Consider the following 20078-nt stretch of genomic DNA (forward strand, 5'->3'; position numbering starts at 1 on the left):
TGTCACACAGCAACTCCCCAAACATAGTATCCCCTGACATCCCTAAATTTTATAGTCAGTGGTTCTAGTACAAAGGGAGATTCTCATTTTATGTACTTCCAATAAATGCTGTGATTGAGTCTCATTCATTCTCTGGAGTCATTCTTGAATGCCTGAAAGAGGAAAATGGAATGCACCTTTGGTTAAATTCAAGTGATGTGACTCACTGGTGCTGAATGGGGTCACCTTCATCTAAAGTACATGGGGGGGGACTAGGGGAAAGTTGTTTACAAAACAAAAGTTTGACTAGAAGATATCAAATTCTTGCAGGAAAAATGAGATCCTCTTGATATAAAATATAAAGGAGAAATAGTCTTACACTAGAAGAGTAACTTGAGCAAGAGTTTTCATTATAATTTAGAATGAATTTTTGTGATGAAATGATAGAATCTGGAAAAATGTTATTAGAAACAACAAGTAGATTAATGTACAGTTTGGGAAAAAAAGACTAAATGTGTTATTTCATGGTGTTTTGATTAGGAAGAAAAAAATTTTGAGAACATTAAGGCTCTGAGGGGAATAATGCTCAGGTTGATAAAGCAATTAGTTTCTTGGCTGAAGAACTCTCTACAAATCTGCCCTCAGAATATTTTTGTGTTATTTTATTTTCACTTCAAGAAATATATTGTATTTTTTTCCTGCCAATTCTTACTAATGCATATGGCTGAGTTAATTCTTCACTAGATTCATTTTATAGAAGATAAAGGAGATTTTTCATAAAAGATGAGTGGAATTTTTGTGACAAATGATGCTTTGGAGTCTATACGCAAAGGGCAGCCCCGACTGAGGAAAGAACTCCCTCTTCAGTTTTGCATGTAGCTCAGCACTGGTGAAGAATCTCAATGTCCGTTGGAAGCTGGAGGAGCTATTTGGGGCATGCCACCTGTGGGCCATACAGAGGGCATCATGATCAGTGAAACATGAGAAAGCTTTATCTGGCTCAAGAAAAAGCAGAATGTGGAAGGAGCTACTTGGTGATTACACTAGCAAATATGTCTATGAACAGAGATGGGTCCCTTGGAGGACTTATGAGAAGAGTGGATTGCACTGCAGTAAACAAAAAATTGTGTGGTCAATGATGAAAACAAAAGTAAGAACTTTGGAATGCTAGCATTGGTGTAACTTCATTGATTAGAGCTCATTAAGGTGTTCTGGTTATATTTGTATTAACATATAGTATAAACGTCAAAGATCATCATTTGTATCTTAATTGTACTTGATCATGTTTTCTCGCAAATACAATTTTTAAAAAATCCAACTTAACTCTATTTGCTTGCCATCTAAAGGTGGGAACATTTAGAAGTAACTTCTTTATTTTTTTGTTTTGACTTATTGAGTTCAGAAATTTAAAGTTTACATATTTTTTGTATATCCTCTAAAGTCACAAATTTGTGTTTTTGCTATAAAATATCTAATAATTATTCATTAGACATTATTGTTATTGCTTGCATAATTTTTCCTAATGTGCATATTTATTGTTGTTTGCACATTTGGTAAACCAAATTTCAACAGCACTCTTCAGTGTTAATTAAATCACAATTTCTGCCTTTAGGTAATTCCATCAAGCATATGGGCCATCTGTTGCATAGACTGCAACTTATGTAATCTTCTTGGACCATCTTTCTGTTGTATGTAGTTTACCTCACTTATTTAATTACTGTATACTTCAAGATTTTGTGGTTTGCAATATGCTCACTAAATGTAATTCTGTCCATATTACACTCCCTATTCATTGAGAAGCAACAACATTTTGTGTTGATTAAAAATCAGCTTTGTTTGTCATTAGAAGCAGAATGACAACACTAAATTATTTTTCTTTTTGTAATCATTATTATGTTTTCAGTGTCAGTAAAGTATATATTTTATTAAAATTATTCATTTTTTTGTTCAGAAAGTTTTAACATCTTATGGATTTTAGCATGGTTTTCTCTTCTTTTCTAATTAATTTTCTGGGACATTTTATAATTAGAAATGTTAAACTGCCAACAAATGTGAAAAAATCCTCAACATCACTAATCATCAGAGAAATGCAAATCAAAACCACAGTAAGATAGCATCTTACACCAGTCAGAATGGCTATTATTAAAAGATAAAAAAAATAACAGATGTTAGCGAGGATGTAGTGAAAAGGGAACACTATATGCTGTTAGTGAGAATGTAAATTATTTCAGCCACAGTGAAGAACAGTTTGAAGATTTCTCAAATAACTAAAATAGAACTACCATTGGACCCAGTCGTTCTATTACTTGGTATATACCCAAGGAAAACAAACATCCTACCAAAAGGACACATGCACTTTTATGTTCATCACAGCACTATTCACAATGACGAAGATGTGGAATCAACCTAGGCATCCATCAACAGTGGGTTGAATTAAGAAAATGCGTTACATATACACCATGGAATACTAGCCAGAAAAATTAGCAAAATTGTGTCCTTTCCAGCAACATGGATGCAGCTGGAGGCCACCATCCTAAGCGAATTAACACGGGAACAGAAGATCAAATACTGCATGATCTCACTTGTAAGTGGGAGCTAAACATTGGGTACACGTGGGCACAAAGATGGGAGCAATATCACTGGGGACTACAAGATGGGAGAGGGAGGGAGGGAGGAAGCAAGGACTGAAAAACTACCTATTGGGTGTCCTGCACACTCCTTGGTGATGGGTTCAATCATACCCTGAATCTCAGTATCATGCAATATATCCTTATAACAAACCTGTACATGTACTTACTGAATCTAAAATAAGCTGAAATTTAAAAAACAAAAATAGAAATAAACATTTTACAAGAAAAAAATTGAAATGTTAGCAGATTTAGAATACTCTCTCTAAAAAAGAAAACTTTATCCTGTTATTCGACAATAGTTACCAATTATACTTCATCTTTTATTTGAATCTCTTGTAGATTATTTGTAAGTATATTACAGTCATTATTGGAGGGATCTCCCAGATGATCACTATATATATAGATTCCTATTTTCCAGTTTTCCATAAAGAGTTTTGCCATTATATCTGCTTACTTTTCTCACTTAAATATATTTATATAATGTAGAATATGGGCCATGATAATTTCTGTTATATGGTGTCAGCACATTATTTTCTAAAAGTTCTATTAGTTAAACATTTCAGATTTCATGCACTTAGATGAGTTTTACAAAACCAACTCAACTATTCACTTGTTGGGTTGTCCCCTTGTTTGTTACACATTAGAGTATTCTTGGCCAGGCATGGTGGCTCACGCCTGTAATCCCAGCACTTTGGGAGGCTGAGGCGGGCACATCACAAGGTCAAGAGATGGAGCCCATCCTGGCCAACATGGTGAAACCCCGTCTCTACTAAAAATACAAAAATTAGCCATTCGTGGTGGCATGCGCTTGCAGTCCCAGCTACTCGGGAGGCTGAGGCAGGAGAATCACTTGAACCTGGGAGGCAGAGGATTCAGTGAGCCGAGATCGCACCGTTGCACTCCAGCCTGGCGACAGAGCGAGACTCCGTCTCAAAATAAATAAATAAATAAATAAAATAAACAAATAAATATTCTTTATCTTTTATTCTTTTCCCAAATTATGTAAATTCTTTGTGCCATTTGTATGTACAGGAGCACTGCTTAGTTATCATAAAATTCCTTTAATTTACTGTACTAAGTTGCTTACATTTGAATGTATGTTCAAACTATTTAAATTGGACCGTGGACATTTAACATTTTCCCATGTAACAAACCAAACTACATGTTATTACGCTAACATTTTGTTTTGCTTCTGTATAATTAATTGGCATAATTCTACCACGTTATGAATTAATTTGATCTCCTATTTTAAATTTAGATCATGTTTACGTGCAATTCATAAAACATCAACCAGAAGCTTCTATGGCTGCAGAACAACACTTCCACTAATGAAAACTATAAAAGCCAGGTAAAATAATAATTTAACAAAACAGCTAGTTGAAGGCATTAGGGAGCAACCAAGGCAGGAAAGACATCGGGTTTTAACATCAGAGAGAGAAGAAAAAGCACGTTCACACGAAGGAAAGCCAGGTAAGATATTTTCTGCTGCCTTTCCCGTCCAGGCATTTGCTAATTTCAAAGACACAGTTGGCAAGAGTTATACATTTGTAATATGTAGATTTTTTCTTAATGTGTTTTTCCTTCAAAAATAACTTAAATATTGAGTATTTAGTCCACCTGAGTAGATTATATGCTGAGACAAATCATATTTAATTTTATTCCTTTGTCCTTTCTTTAGTATGATGAGTAGTTGCCTTAATTGATAGCTAAGTATTGAAACTCAACAGAGTTTGTGCACATGATCTTTATTCATCTGATGTTGAAGGCTTATTTGAGTAGATTTGTTTTTTCTACTTGCACAAATCTTTGTACCACTTATTAATTAACAAGCACAGTAGCATGTTCAATAATGCAGAATTTAGAGTTAGGGACCCTGGGGTTTAAATTACAGCTATTTCACACTTTAGCTTTGGAATAAAATAGGCAGGTTATTTAACTTAACCCATTTGTGTTTCAGTATTGTCTTTTGTAGATAGGAAAATGATACTTTCTACATAGTTGATTGTTACATAAATATGGCAATAACAAAGAAAGCAAAGTGATAACTTGTTCAAAATTATTTGCTATTTCTATTAATACTTTTTGAAAGATATCTTAAAATAATAAGACGGTTCTCAGTCATGAAAATGTATTTTTAACGTATAAAACATTTGTTTACTTATTTTACTGTAATGATAAGAAAAAACAAGCAAATATATTCCTAGCTATAAGAAACAATGACTATATTATTCATGTAATTTTCAAAATTAATTCAAAAGGCATAAAGACATTTTTTCAAAAATCACTTTACAATTGTAAGAAATAATTGTTAATGAAAATGAACCTCCTTCTTACATTATAAAAGAAGCATTTCTTTTTGACTGACAGATAATAAATCTAGAGAGAAAGTAGTAGATACAGTAGAGAATAAATTCCATAAAATTATATAGAAAAGCTGTTACAATATGCACAGTCATCTGTACTTAATAGCTACACCTAGGTTTGAATCTGTCATTAATCGGTTATTGAGCCTTGGTCAAATTACCCAAAGTAACTTCTATCATTATAGAATAACAGCTTAATAATAACATCCTGGTATACATCCTGTATTTGATAAATATAAGTTACTCAATAAATATTAACACAGTAATGTTACAAAAATTATACTTCTTGTTATTTTCAGTACTATATATAAAGTGTAATAAAAGTCTTAAGATCTTAAAATATTATAGTCTTTTTATAAAATTTTTAATTTTTAATTTTTGTGGGTATATAATAGGTGTATATATTTATGTGGTACATAAGATATTTTGATATAGGCATATAATGTGTAATAATCACATTAGGGTAAATGGTATATCCATCATCTATCTCATTAAGGATTTATCCTCTCTTTGTTTTACAAGTAACCAAAATATGCTATTTTGGTTATTTTAAAATGCACAATAATTTATTACTTACTGTAGTCATCTTGTTGTGCTATCAAATACTAGATCTTATGAATTCTATCTAACTATATTTTTGTACCTATTAATATTCTCCACTCCCCACCCCTGACTCCCACTCCCTACTACCCTTCTCAGCCTCTGGTAACCATCCTTCCACTTTCTATCTCCAAGCATTCAAATGTTTTAATTTTCAGCTCTCACAAATAAGTGAGAATACGTAAAGTTTGTCTTTCTGTGCCTGGCTTATTTCACTTAACATAGTGACCTCCAGTTTCAGGCATATTGTTGCAAATGACAGGATCTCATTGTTTTATATTCTTGTTTTGTTTCTTCAATAATGTACTTTGTACATGTTCTGCTTTGGAGAAATTTTTTTAAATTTAATGCACTTTTAATTTTTGGTGACAGTTTAATGCTGAAAAGATGTCTAAATTTCCAATTTTTCAAAGATTTAATAGACATATACAGAGTTTTCTAAATTTTGCCTACAATCCAAACAATTTGTAATGAAATTTCAAATTGTAACATTTCAAAAGAGTTCATTTAAACAAATAGACTTTCAAGGGGAAGGACTGGATTGATGTTCAAAATTGGCTAAAGAAAATGCTCTGTGATGTCATAGATTCATGCCATACAGATGCGTAGAGCATGCAGTTACACTGCGATGAATTGGACATCACCTTAAACTCATGGACACTCTTACCTTTTTAAAATTTCAATAGTTTCTGGGGAACAGGTAGTGTTTGGTTGCATGGAAAAGTTCTTCAGTGGTGATTTCTGAGATTTTGGTGCACCTGTCACCTGAGCAGCGTACAATGTACTTAATGTGTAGACTTTTATCTGTCAAGCCCCTCTCACCCATCCTCGTGAGTCCCCAAAGCCCATTATATCATTCTTATGCCTTTTTGTCTGCATAGCTTAACTCCCACTTATAGATGAGAACATACAATACTTGGTTTTCCATTCCTGAGTTACTTCACTTAGAATAATGGTCTCCAACTCCATCTAGGTTGCCATGAATGCCATTATTTTGTTCCTTTTTATGGCTAAGTAGTATTCCATGGTATACACACATACACACATCTATCTATCTATCTATCTATCTATCTATCTATCTATCTATCTATCACATTACCCACTTATTGGTTGATGGGCATTTAGGTTGGTTCCATACTTTTGCTATTGTGATTTGTGCTGCTATAAACGTGAATGTGCAAGTGTCTTTTCATATAATGATTTCTTTTCCTCTGGGTAAATACTCAGTGGTAGTATTGTGGAATTGCTGGATCAAATGGTAGTTCTACTTTTAGTTTTTAAGGAATCTTCATATTGTTTTCCAGAATGATTATACTAGTTTACATTCCCACCAGTAGTGTAAAAGTGTTCCCTTTTTACCACATCCATGCCAACATCTGCTATTTTTGATTTTTCAATTACAACCGTTCTTGCAGGAGTAAGATGGTATCTCATTGTGGTTTTTATTTTCATTTCCCTGATAATTAGTGATGTTGAGCATTTTTTGATGTTTGTTGGCCATTTGTATATCTTTTTTTGAGAATTGTCTCTTTATGTCCTTTGCTCATTTTTCTATGGGATTGTTTGGTCTTTTCTTGCTAATTTGTTTGAGTTCCTTATAGATTTTGGATATTAGTCCTTTGCCAGATGCATAGTTAGCAAACATTTTCTCCCACTGTATGTGTTGTCTGTTTATTCTGGTGATTATTTCTTTTGCTGTGCAGAAGCTTTTCAGTTTAATTTGGTCCCATCTATTTATCTTTCTTTTTGTTGCATTTGCTTTTTGGTTCTTGGTCATGACATCTTTGCCTAAGCTAATGTCTAGAAAAGATTTTTCGATGTTATCTTCTAGAATTTTTAAGGTTTCAGGTCTTAGATTTAAGTCTTTGATCCATTTTGAGTTGATTTTTGTAGAAAGTGAGAGATAAGAATCCAGCCTCATTCTTTTATATGTGCCTTGTCAATATTCCCAGCACCACTGGTTAAATAGGCTGTCCTTTTCCCACTTCATGTTTCTGTTGGCTTTGTCAAAGATCAGTTGATTGTAAGTACTTGACTTTATTTCTGGCTTTCCTATTCTGTTCCTTTGGTCTACTTGCGTATTTTTATACCAGTACCATGCTGTTTTTTTTAACTATAGCCTTGTAGTATAGTTTGAAGTCAGGTAATGTAATGCCTGCAGGTTTGTTCCTTTTGCTTAGTCTTGCTTTGACTATGCAGACTCTTTTTTGGTTCCATAGAAATTTTAGGTTTGTTTATTCCAGTTCTGTGAAGAATGATCATGGTATTATGACGGGAATTGAATAGAATTTGTAGAATGCTTTTGGAAGCATAGTCATTTTTGCAATATTGATTCTACCCATCCACGAGCATGGGATAAGTTTCCATTTGTTTGTGTCATCAATGATTTCCTTCAGCAGTGTTTTGTAGTTTTCCTTGTGGAGACCTTTCACCTCCTTTATTAGGTATATTTCTAACTTTTATTTATTTGGTGTTTTTTTTTTGGAGCTGTTGTAAAAGGGGTTGATTTCTTGATTCTTTAATTCTCATCAATCATTCTTTGATTCTCATCTTGGTCTTTGTTGTTGTATAGCAGTGCTACGATTTGTGTACATTGATTTTTGTATCCGGAAATTTAATGAGATTCTGCATTTAATGTTGCAGCTCAGTAGTTAAAAAGGTTCTAATAGTTTATTTGCTTGGTTAGCTGAAACATGGATCAAAAGAGGGCCCACTATGAGCGAGCTGGAATGCCTGATCTCCCTTGGTTTAATGTAGAGGAAGGGATCCAAAGGCTTAGGGAGATTGGAATGCTAGAGTGGATTAGTCACTTTAGACCTACTGATCCCAATCAAGAGGGTCCAGAGGACATATTCTTCATCAATATCTGGCAAAATAGATTTGTGAGGGGAGCACCTGAATCCCTGAGGAGCTCTGTGATTGTTCTTCTCTGTACACCAAATTTTACAGTGGGAACCTCATTCACTCAACTGGAAAAGTTAAATGCAATGGGAATATTCGATCCTGAAGTGGCAGGGTCCAAGTGGCAGCACTCAACTGTCAAAGGCAAGGTGGGTGTAATTACAATAAAGGACTGCAGAGGCAAGACAGCAATCAGAATAGTCTGACTACTGTAGGGCTCTGGAACTGGCTAATTAATCATGATGTTCCTAAAAGTGAAATCGACAGGAAGCCTACTACATTCTTACTTAATTTGTATAAGCAGAAAACTTCCAGGTCAAGTGGACAAAAAACTAATTCAAATTATAAAAATAGAGAATCATGACTCCTCAATCAATTTCCAGATTTGAACCAATTTACAGACCCAGGTCTCTTTGGGGAAGGACTTCACTACACTTCTGAGAATGTATACTGTTACTCTTTCTCCCATCCTTCCCCAAAAAGACTTCTGGACTTTTACCAGGGTAACTGTGTATTGGGGAAAGGAGAATGATCAGAACTTTTAGGTACTACTGGACACTGGCTCTGAGTTGACATTGATTCCAGGGGACCCAAAACATCATTGTGGTCCTCCAGTTAGAGTAGGAGCTTATGGAGGTAATTAATGGATTTTTAGCTCAGGTCTAACTTACAATGAATCCGATGGATGCCCGGACTCATCCTGTGGTCATTTTCCCTGTGCCAGTATGCAAAACTGAAATAGACATACTTAGCAGTTGGCAGAATCTTCACATTGGCTTTCTGATGGGTAGGGTGAGGGTTATTATGGTGGGAAAGGCCAAATGGAAGCCATTAGAGCTTCCTCTCCTAGAAAAATAGTAAATCAAAAACAATATATCCCTGCAGGGATTGCAGAAATTAGTGCCACCATCAAGGACTTGAAAGATGCAAAGGTGGTGATTCTCACCACATTCCCATTCAACTCTCCTATTTAGTCTGTGCAGAAGACAGATGGATCTTGGAGAATGACAGTGGAGTATCATAAGCTTAACCAAGTGGTGACTCCAATTGCAGCTGCTGTAGCAGAGGTTGTTTCACTGCTTGAGCAAATTAACACATCTCCTGGTACCTGGTATGCAGCCATTGATTTGACAAATGCCTTTTTCTCCATTCCTGTCCAAAAGGCCCATCAGAAGCAATTTTCCTTCAGCTGGCAAGGCCAGCAATATACCTTTACTGTCCTACCTCAGGAATATATCAACTCTCTTGCTTCGTGTCATAATCTTTTTCACAGAACTCTTCATCAGTTTTTCCTTCCACAAGATATCACACTGGTCCATTACATTGATGACCTTATGCTGATTGGATCCAGTGAGCAAAAAGTAGCAACCACATTAGACTTATTGGTGAGATACTTGCATGCCAGGGGGTGGAAAAAATATGACAAAAACTCAGAGACCTTCTACCTTTATGAAATTTCTAGAGGTCCAGTGGTGTAGAGCCTGTTGAGATATTTTTTCTAAGGTGAAGGATAAGTTGTTGCATTGGCCTGTCCTATAACCAAGAAAGAGGCACAATGCCTCGTGGGCCTATTTGGATTTTGGAGGCCACACATTTCTCATTTGAGTGTGTTAGTTCAACCCATTTATTGAATGGGGTCCAGAACAGTAGAAGGCTCTGCAATAGGTCCAGGCTACTGTGCAAGCTGCTCTGCCACTTGGCCCGTATGACCCAGCAGATCCAATGGTGCTTGAGGTGTCTGTGGCAGATAAGGATGCCATTTGGAGCTTTTGGCAGGCCACAATAGGTGAATCACAGTAGAGGCCTCTAGGATTTTTTTTTTCTTTCCACACGGAGTCCACTCTGTTGCCCAGGCTGGAGTGCAGTGGTATGATCTCGGCTCACTGCAACCTCCACCTCCTGGGTTCAAGCAATTCTCCTGCCTCAGCCTCCCAAGTAGTTGGGATTATAAGTGCGTGCCACCATGCCCAGCTAATTTTTATATTTTTAGTAGAGATGGGGTTTTACCATGTTGGCCAGGCTGGTCTCAAACTCCTGACCTCAAGTGATCCACCTGCCTCAGCATCCCAAAGTGCTGGGATTACAGGGTTGAACCACTGAGACAGGCTGGACTCTAGGATTTTGAAACAAGGCCCTACCATCTTCCGCAGATAAACTGCTCTCCTTTTGAGAGACAGCTCTTGGCCTGTTACTGGGCTTTAGTAGAAACTGAATGCTTAACTATAGGTCACCAAGTTACCATATGACCTAAACTGCGTATCATAAACTGGGTGCTTTCTGATCCATCTAGCCACAATGTTGGGTGCACAGCAGCATTTCTTCAAGTGGAAGTACTATATATGTGATTGGGCTCAAGCAGGTCCTGAAGGCACAAGTAAATTACATGAGGAAGTGGCTCAAAAGCCCATGGTCCTCACTGCTGCTACCCTGCCTTTTCTCTCTCAGCCTGCACTAATCACCTCATGGGGAGTTTCCTATGATCAACTGACAGAGGAAGAGAAGACTAAGGCCTGGTTTACAGATGGTTCTGCATGGTATGCAGGCACCACCTGAAAGTGGACAGCTATAGCACTACAGCCTCTTTTTAGGATATCCGGGGTTAAGGGAAATCTTCCCAGTGGGCAGAAATTTGAGCAGTGTACCTGGTTGTGTACTTTGCTTAGAAGGAGAAATGGCCAGATGTGTGATTATATGCAGACTTACGGGCTGTAACCAATGGTTTGGCTGGATGGCCAGGGACTTGGAAGAAGTATGACTGGAAAACTGATGACAAATACACCTGGGGAAGAGGTATATGGACAGACTTTTCTGAGTGGTCAAAAACTGTGAAGTATTTGTGTCCCATGTGAATGTTCACCAAAGGATGACCTCAGCAGAGGGGGATTTTTATAATCAAATGGATAACATGACTCGTGATATGGACACCACTCAGTCTCTTTCCCCAGCCACCCCTCTCATTGCCCAGTGGGCTCATGACCAAAGTGGCCATAGTGGCAGGGATGGAGGTTCCACATGGCATCAGCAACATAGACTTCCATTCACCAAGGCTGACCTGGTTATGGCCACTGCTGAGCGCCCAATTTGCTAGTAGCAGAGACCAACACTGAGTCCTGGATATGGCACCATTCCTTGGGGTGATCAGCCACCACTTGGTGGCAGGTTGATTATATTGGACCTCATCCATCATGTAAAGGGCAGCGGTTTGTCCTCACTGAAATAGACACTTACTTCTAGATATGGGTTTTCCTATCCTTCATGCAATGCTTCTGCCAAGACTACCTTTTGTGGACTCACAGAATGTCCTATTTGCCATCATTATATTCCACACATCATTACCTCTGACCCAGGCAATCACTTTATAGCTAGAGAAGTGCAGCAGTGGGCTCATGAAATTCACTGGTCTTGCCATGTTCCCCATCATCCCCTAGCAGCTGGATTGATGGAATTGTGGAATGGCTTTTTGAAGTCGCAATTACAATACCAACTAGGTGACAATACTTTTCAGGGCTGGAGCAAAGTTCTCCAGAAAGTGTGTATGCTCTCAGTCAGCATCCAATATATGTTACTGTTTCTCCCATAGCCAGGATCCACAGGTCCAGAAATCAAGGGGTGGAATTGGAAGTGGCACCACTCACCATCACCCCTAGTGATCCACTAGCAAAATATTTGCTTCCTGTTCCCACTACATTAGGTTCTGCTGACTTAGAGGTCTTAATTACAGAGGGAGGAATGCTGCCATGAGGAGACACAACAATGATTCCATTAAACTGGAAGTTAAAATTGCCACCTGGTCACTTTGGGCTTCTCCTACCTCTAGGTCAACAGGTTAAGGAGGGAGTTACAGTGTTGGCTGGGGTCATTGACCCAGAGTATAAAGATGAAATTAGCCTACTACTCCACAATGGAGGCACGGAAGAGTGTGCGTGGAATATAGCAGATCCCTTAGGGTATCTCTCAGTATTACCATGCCCTGTGATTAAGGTCAATGGGAAAGTACAACAACCTAATCCAGGCAGGACTGTGGATGACCCAGACCCCTCAGGAATGAAGGTTTTTGTCACTCTGCCAGGTAAAAAACCACAACCAGCTGAGGTGCTTGCTGAAAGCAAAGAGAATACAGAATGGGTAGTCGAAGAAGGTAGTTTTCAATACCAGCTGTGACCATGTGACTAGTTGCAGAACTGAAGACTGTGATTGTCATGAGTATTTCCTTCCTATTTTGTTAAGAATATGTTTGTGTATGTATATACTTGTACTGAGAAAATATCTTTATTATATTTGAATATATATGTATATATTTGAACCCATATATGCATATATATATGGGTTCAAGTTGATAAGGGGTGGACTCGTGATTGTTAATATTAGGTGTCAACTTGATTGGATTAAAGGATACCTAGATAGCTGGTAAAGTATTGTTTCTGGGTATGTCTGTGAGGGTGTTGCCAAAAGAGGTTAATATTTGTCAGTGAACTGCCGGGAGGAAGACTCAATCTCAGTGTGAGCAGGCACCATCCAATTGGCTGCCAGCATGGCTAGAACAAAGCAGGTGGAAGAAGGTGGGATAAGCTGGCTTGCTGAGTCTTCTGGCTTTAATCTGTCACCCTGGATGCTTCCTTGGACATCAGACTTTGGATTCTTTGCCTTTGGACTCTTGCACTGACACCAGTGGTTTGCTGGGGGCTCTCAGGCCTTTGGCCACAGACTGAAGCCTGCGTTAATGTCTTCCCTACTTTTTAGGCTTTTAGACTTGGACTGAGCCACTACTGGCTTCAAATGTCCTCATCTTGCAGACAGCCTATCACGGGACTTCACCTTGTGATCGTGTGAGTCAATTCTCCTTAATAAACTTTCCTGAATACATACATGTATCCTATTGGTTCTGTTTCTCTGGAGAACCCTGACTAATACAGTAGTTTCCTTTTGTTATGACATGTCCTGGTTTTTCTATTAGGGTGATACTGGCTTCATAGAATGATTTAGGGAGGATTCTCTTTTTCTCTATGTTTTGGAATACTTTCAGTAAGATTGGTATGAAATCTTTGAATGCCTGATAGAATTCAGCTGTGAATCTATCTGATCCTGGAATTTTTCTGCTTGGTATTTTTTTTTTTTTTTTTTTACTATTTCAATCTCACTACTTGTTATTGGTCTGTTCAGAGTTTCTACTGCTTCCTGATTTAATCTAGGAGGGTTGTATATTTCCAGGAATTTAACCATCTCCTCTAGATTTTCAAGTCTGTGTGCATAAAGGTGTTCACAGTAGCCTTGAATGATCTTCTGTATTTCTGTAGTATTGGTTGTAATATCTCCTGTTTTGTTTCTAAATGAGCTTATTTGTTTTCTTGGTTAATCTCAATAATGGTTGATCGATTTTGTTTATCTACTCAAGGAATCAGCTTTAAGTTTCATTTATCTTTTTTTGCTTGTTTGTTTATTTCAATTTCAATTAGTTCTACTCTAATCTTTGTTATTTATTTTCTTCTGCTGGGTTTGGGTTTGGTTTGTTCTTGTTTCTCTAGTTCCTCGAAGTGTGCTCTTAGATTGTCTATTTGTGCTCTTTCAGACTTTTTGATGTAGGCATTTAATGCTATGAACTTTCATGTTAGCTCTGCTTTGTTGTGTCCCAGAGATTTTGATAAGTTGCATCACTATTATCATCTAGTTCAAAGATTTTTTAAAATTTTTCATTATGATTTTATTGTTCACCCAAGGATCATTCAGGAGCAGATTATTTAATTTCCATGTATTTGTTTAATTTTGAAGGTTCTTTCTGTAGTTAATTTCCAGTTATATTGCACTGTGATCTGAGAGGGTACTTAATATAATTTTAGTTTTCTTAAATTTATCGAGACTTGTTTTGTGGCCTATCATATGGTCTGTCTTGGAGAATGTTCCATGTGCTGATGAAAAGAATGTATATTCCGCAGTTGTTGGGTAGAATGTTCTGTAAATATCTGTTAAGTCCATTTGTTCTAGGGTATAGTTTATGCTCATTGTTTCTTTGTTGACTCTCCATCTTGATGACCTATCTAGTGCTGTCAGTGGATTATTGAAGTCCCCCACTATTACTGTGTTGCCATCTATCTCGTTTCTTAGGTTTAGTAGTAATTGTTTTATAAATTTGGGAGCTCCAATGTGAGATGCATATATATTTAGGATTGCAATATTTTCCTGTTGGACTGATACTTTGATCATTATATAATGTATCTCTTTGTCTTTTTTAACTACTGTTTCTTTAAATCTGTTTTGTCTGATATAAGAATAGCTATTTCTGCTTGCTTTTGGTTTTCATTTCCATGGAATAATTTTTTCCACCCCTTTATCTTAAGTTTATGTGAGTCCTTATGTATTAGGTGAGTCTGTTGAAGAGATCAGATACTTGGTTGGTAAATTTTTATTCCTTCTGCTATTCTGTATCTTTTAAATGGAACATTTAGGCCATTTACATTAGGAGTTAGCATTGAGATGTGAGATAGTATTTTATTCATTCTGAATATCTTTTTTTTCCATTGTGTTATTGTTTTATAGGCCCCATGAGTTTTATGCTTAAAGGATGTTTTATTTTTATGTGTTTCAAGATTTTATTTTAAGGTTTAGAATTACTTTTAGCATTCCTTGTAATGCTGGCTTGGTAGTGGCAAATTCTCTCAGCATTTGTTTCTCTGAAAAAGACTGTATCTTCCTTTTATTTATAAAGTTTAGTTTTGCTTGATATAAATTTCTTGGATGACAATTATTTTGTTTGAGGAGGCTAATAAGAGAACATTAATCTCTTCTTTTTTATAGGGTTTCTGCTAAGAAATCTGCTGTTAATCTGATAGATTTTCCTTTATAGGTCATCTGATGCTTTTGCCTCACAGTTCTTAAAATTCTTTTGTTTGTTTTGACTTTAGATAAACTGATGACTGTATGCATAGATGATGATATGTTTGCAATGAATTTCCCAGGTGCTCTTTTGGCTTCTTGTATTTGGATGTCTAGATCTCTAGCAAGGCCAAGGAAGTTTTCTTCAATTATTCCATCAAACAAATTTTCCAAACTTTTAGATTTCTCATCTTCCTCAGGAACACCAATTATTCTTAGGTTTGATCATTTAACACAACCCCAAACTTCTTGGAGGCTTTGTTCTTTTTTTATTATTGTTTTTTCTTTGTCCTTGTCTGATGGAGTTAATTAATAAGCCTGTCTTTGAGCTCTGAAGTTCTTTTTTCTACTTGTTCTATTGTTGACACTTTCTAGTGCATTTTGTATTTCTGTGTTTCTTTTATTTCCAGAAGTTGTGATTTTTTTTTCTTTATAATACCTATTTCTCTGGGGAATTTTTAATCTATATGCTGTATTTTTCTTTTTAATTGCTTTAAGTTGATTTTCACCTTTTTCTAATATCTCCTTGAATAGGTCAAACTTTTGCATTCTTTATTTGGAAATTCATAGATTTCTTCTTGATTTGAATCCATTGCTTGAGAGCTAGTGTGGTCTTTTGGGGGTATCACAGAACCTTGTTTTGTTATATTACCAGAATTACTTTTCTGATTCCTTCTCATTTGGGTAGACTATTTTAGCGGAAAAATCTGGAACTCCAGGGCTGCTGTTCAGATTCTTTCATCCCATGGAGTGATCCCCTGATATGTGCACTCACCCTTCCTAAGGGATGGGGATTCCTGGGAACTGGAGTGCATTGAGTGTTAATGCTCTTCTGGGTCTAGCCACTCAGCAGGGCTACCAGGCTGGGCAGGTGCTGCAGAATGTCTGCCAAGAGTCCTGTGATGTGATCCATCTTCAGGTCTCCCAGGCATGGATACCAAGACCTGCTCTTGTGGAGGTGGCAGGGGAGTGAAGTAGACTCTGTGAGATTCCTTGGTTATAGATATGTTTAGTATGCTGGCTTTCTTGAATGCTGATTATGCTGGCAGTGATCTGAACAAACTCAGGGCCTCCGATTAGCCAGGATGACGCAGGCAGTGGAATTAGCTGTTGTTTTCTCTTTCCTTGGAGCAGGGTTATTCTGTCATGAGTTGCTGTAATGTCCTGAGTTGGTTGGCCTTCAGCCAGGAGGTGCAACTTTTAAGAGCACCAGCTGTGGTAGTAGAAGAGGGATATAAGCTTGCCTTAATTTGGCCAGGATAGGTATTCAGGTTTCTCAGGCAATGAGTGGAACCACAAAGCTCCGAAGAGTTTATCTCTATTGTAATTGACTACCAGTGTGGGTAGAAAATATCATCAGGTCAGGGCAGGGTTAGGTGGGTCTGAGCTCAGACTTTCCTTGGACGGGGCTTGCAGCAGCCACTGTGAGAGAGAAGGAGGTGGTTCTCTGGCTAATAGAGTTATGTTCCAGAGGGGATTATGGCTGCCTCTGTCACCAGGGGAGTGGGGAAAACCTGGTAGAGATAGGCCTCACCCAGCTCCTGCAATGTTGGAAAGGCTGGTCTTGCTCCCACCAAGGCTGTTAAGACCAGAGTTTATCTCCAAGCAGCTGTGCATAGAATCCAGACCTTTCCTCAGGATATAAGCTTCCCTGCTGAGAAAGCAAGAACAACTTTCAAGCCACACCTCCTCTCTATCCGCCCACAATGTAGACCATGGCTCCTGTGCTCCTTTCTGCAGTAGTTCTCCTTTGCCCTCCAAATTCTGTTCAAGAGACTTTGTGCCCAGTCAAAATTATTGCAAAGTTCAGCTGGAAGATTCTTTCACACTGTGACCTCTCCCAAATTTCACCGGCTGCCTTTGCTGAGGGCCCCTGTGAGATAGAGTCACGGATGGCTTTCCTGGGCTCAAGCTGGAGAATGGGAGTGTCTACAAGGCTCTTCGTGCTGCCACTTATACTTTTATATTTCACACTAAATCCATTTCAGCTCTAGATAAGGTTAAATCCTTCTCCAACAATCTGAATTTTCAGGTTTCCTAGCGGAGACGTGTGTTCAGAGGCAGGTTTTCCCCCTCTCACACTTTGGGAACTCACAGTTTTTTGTCTATCTCATGGAATTTGCAGCAGTGTGCCACTTCTTTCAAAGAGTCTATGAATTCTTTTGGTTTTTCTGGTATGTTCCTATGGTGGTTCTTGGAGCAAAAGTCTACAGTATGAGTCTCCACAGGCTGTTATGTTTGCCCAGGTGGGAGCTGAATGTTAGCCCTGCCTCCTCTCCACCATCCTCCTCCCACTCTGGATCTCATTGTTTTCTATGACTGAATAGGACTCCATTGTATTTAAGTACTATATTTTCTTTATCTATTCGTCTGTTGATGGACATGTAGGTTGCTTTCAAATTTCGACTATTGTGGATAGTGCTGCAATAAACATGGGAGTGGAGATATCTCTTCAAAATACTGATTTTTTTTCTTTTGGGTACATACCTAGCAGTAGCATTGCTAGATCATATAGTAGCTTTCTGTTTTGTTTTATGAGGAATTGCCAAACTGTTCTCCATAGTGGGTGTACTAATTTGATTCCTACCAACAGTGTAAAAGACTTCCCTTTTCTCCATATGCTTGCCAGTATTTATTTTTGACTTTCTTTTGGATAAAAGCCATTTTAACTTGGGTGAGACGATATCTCATTGTAGTCTTGATTTGCATTTCTCTGATGATCAATGATGTTGAGTACCTTTTCATATGCCTGCTTGCCATTTATATATGTTCTTTTAAGAAATACCTATTCAGATCTTTTGCCCGTTTTAAAATCAGATGATTAGATTTTTTTCCTATTAAGTTGTTTGAGCTTCCTATATATTCTGGTTATTAATTCCTTGTCATATGGGCAGTTTGAAAATATTTTCTTTTATTCTGTAGGTGTCTCTTCACTTCATGAATTGTTTCTTATTGTGGTGCAGAAGCTTTTAACTTGATGTGATCCTATTTGTCCATGTTTGCTTTGGGTGCCTGTGTTTGTGGGGCATTACTCAATAAATCTTTGCCTAGTTCAATGTCTTGGAGAGTTTCCTCAATGTTTTATTTATTTTTTATTTTTTATTTTTGTAGTTTCATAGTTTGAAGTCTTAGATTTAAGTCTTTAATCTACTTTTATTTGATTTTTGCATATAATGAGAGATAGGAGTTTATTTTTATTCTTCTGCATATGGACATCCAGTTTTTCCAGCATCATTTATTGAAGAGACTGTTCTTTTCCCAATGTATATTCTTGGCACCTTTGTTGAAAATTAGTTTGCTGCAAATGTATGAATCTATTTTTGTGGGTTCTGCAGTCTGTTCCATTGGTTATGTGTCTGTTTTTATGCCAGTGCCATGCTGTTTTGGTTACTATAGCTTCATAGTATAATTTGAAGTCTGGTAACATGATTATTCCAGTTTTGTTCTTTTTGCTCAAGACAGCTTTGGCTACTTTGCATCCTTTGTGGTTCCATATAAATTGTAGAATTTTTTTTTTCTATTTCTGTGAAGAGTGTCATTAGTATTTTGATAGGGATTGCATTCACTCTGTGGATTGCTTTAGGTAGTGTCAACATTTTAGCAATATTTATTCTTCCAACCCATCAATGTTCTTCTGCTTTTTCTGTTCAACTTATTGCATTAATGTATTACAATTTTCATTGTCAAAATCTTTCTCTTGTTTAGTTAATTCCTAGGTATTTCATTTTATTTGTAGCTTTTGTAATGAAATTACTTTCTTGGTACCTTTTTCAGATTTTTTGCTATTTGACACATGGAAATGCTACTAATTTTTGTATGTTGATTTTGTATCATGCAAGCTTACTAAATTTATCAGTTTTAATTTTTTGTGTGCAGTCTTTAGGTTTTTTAAACTAAAAGATCAAATAATCTGTAGACAGAATAATTTGATGACTTATTTTCCAATTTGGATGCCCTTTATTTCTTTCTCTTTCTGATCTAGCTAGGACTTAAAATGCTGTAGTCTTTTAAACATCAAGTAGATACCTATAAATGTAATCTATTTTTCAACATTTCAAATAATTTTTCATATGAAAAACTTATTTTTGATTTGTTACAATGAACATTATAAAGAAATCTAGGGACCCTTCAATCTAACTCTCTGGTACTATAGATAACCTAAGATGAATAGATATTAAGTATATTTTTCTGGATCACAAAGACTATTAATTACTGACAAGCGGAAGATTAAGTCTCACATCACCTCATTTCTATTCAGTGTTTTGGCCTTATAACTGGCTGTCTCTCTTAATTTATTCTCATCATTAGGAAAGAAAATGAGGTAGAGCTTTAAGATCAACAGTGCTTTAATATTGACTCTAAGTAAACTTCAGTTATGCTACAACTCACTACCATCATTTCAGTTTTAAATATTTATTTTTGCTTCATTTCTAGATTTTTATCAGCAGCAACCAGTATTTTTGTTTTGTTGTTTTGTATCCTTTTAAGATTTATTTACATTGTAATATAATTTCCTAAAAATGTTTTAATGCTCTTTATTGCCAACAGAGCTAACACAGAAGCAAAATATTTTCATATGTAATAGAGCTTTTCTTTCTCTAAAAGAATATTATAAAGGATCTCTGGTTTAACATGGCTGACTGAAAATATGCATGCATTTTTACTAATTCCTGTAAAGTACCCATAAATGTGTGCATGTGTAAGGCACTGACACTAGATGAGGAATGTCAACTAATTT

General features: G+C 36.8%; 1 long non-coding RNA gene across 1 annotated transcript in view, besides 2 other annotated features; it reads left to right on the plus strand.

Moving 5' to 3' along the window:
- Window positions 1-20078, plus strand: part of LOC105378336 (uncharacterized) — an 88286-nt gene that overhangs the window by 64877 nt on the left and 3331 nt on the right. Inside the window, exon 3 of the long non-coding RNA XR_946020.2 lies at window positions 3868-4079. This is a non-coding gene — a long non-coding RNA (uncharacterized LOC105378336). The remainder of the gene's footprint in view (window positions 1-3867; window positions 4080-20078) is intronic.
- Window positions 2404-2573: an enhancer, noted in NCBI's record as "experimental_14356 CRE fragment used in MPRA reporter constructs". NCBI's record gives its function as "activates a minimal promoter by MPRAs in K562 erythroleukemia cells, with activity observed for the non-introgressed 10:66642076 variant allele {active_cell/tissue: K562}" and the evidence as "EXISTENCE:reporter gene assay evidence [ECO:0000049][PMID:34662402]".
- Window positions 7867-8036: an enhancer, noted in NCBI's record as "experimental_14377 CRE fragment used in MPRA reporter constructs". NCBI's record gives its function as "activates a minimal promoter by MPRAs in K562 erythroleukemia cells, with activity observed for the non-introgressed 10:66647539 variant allele {active_cell/tissue: K562}" and the evidence as "EXISTENCE:reporter gene assay evidence [ECO:0000049][PMID:34662402]".

This window comes from Homo sapiens, chromosome 10 (assembly GCF_000001405.40).
Source record: "Homo sapiens chromosome 10, GRCh38.p14 Primary Assembly".
NCBI classification, from domain to species: Eukaryota; Metazoa; Chordata; class Mammalia; order Primates; family Hominidae; genus Homo; species Homo sapiens.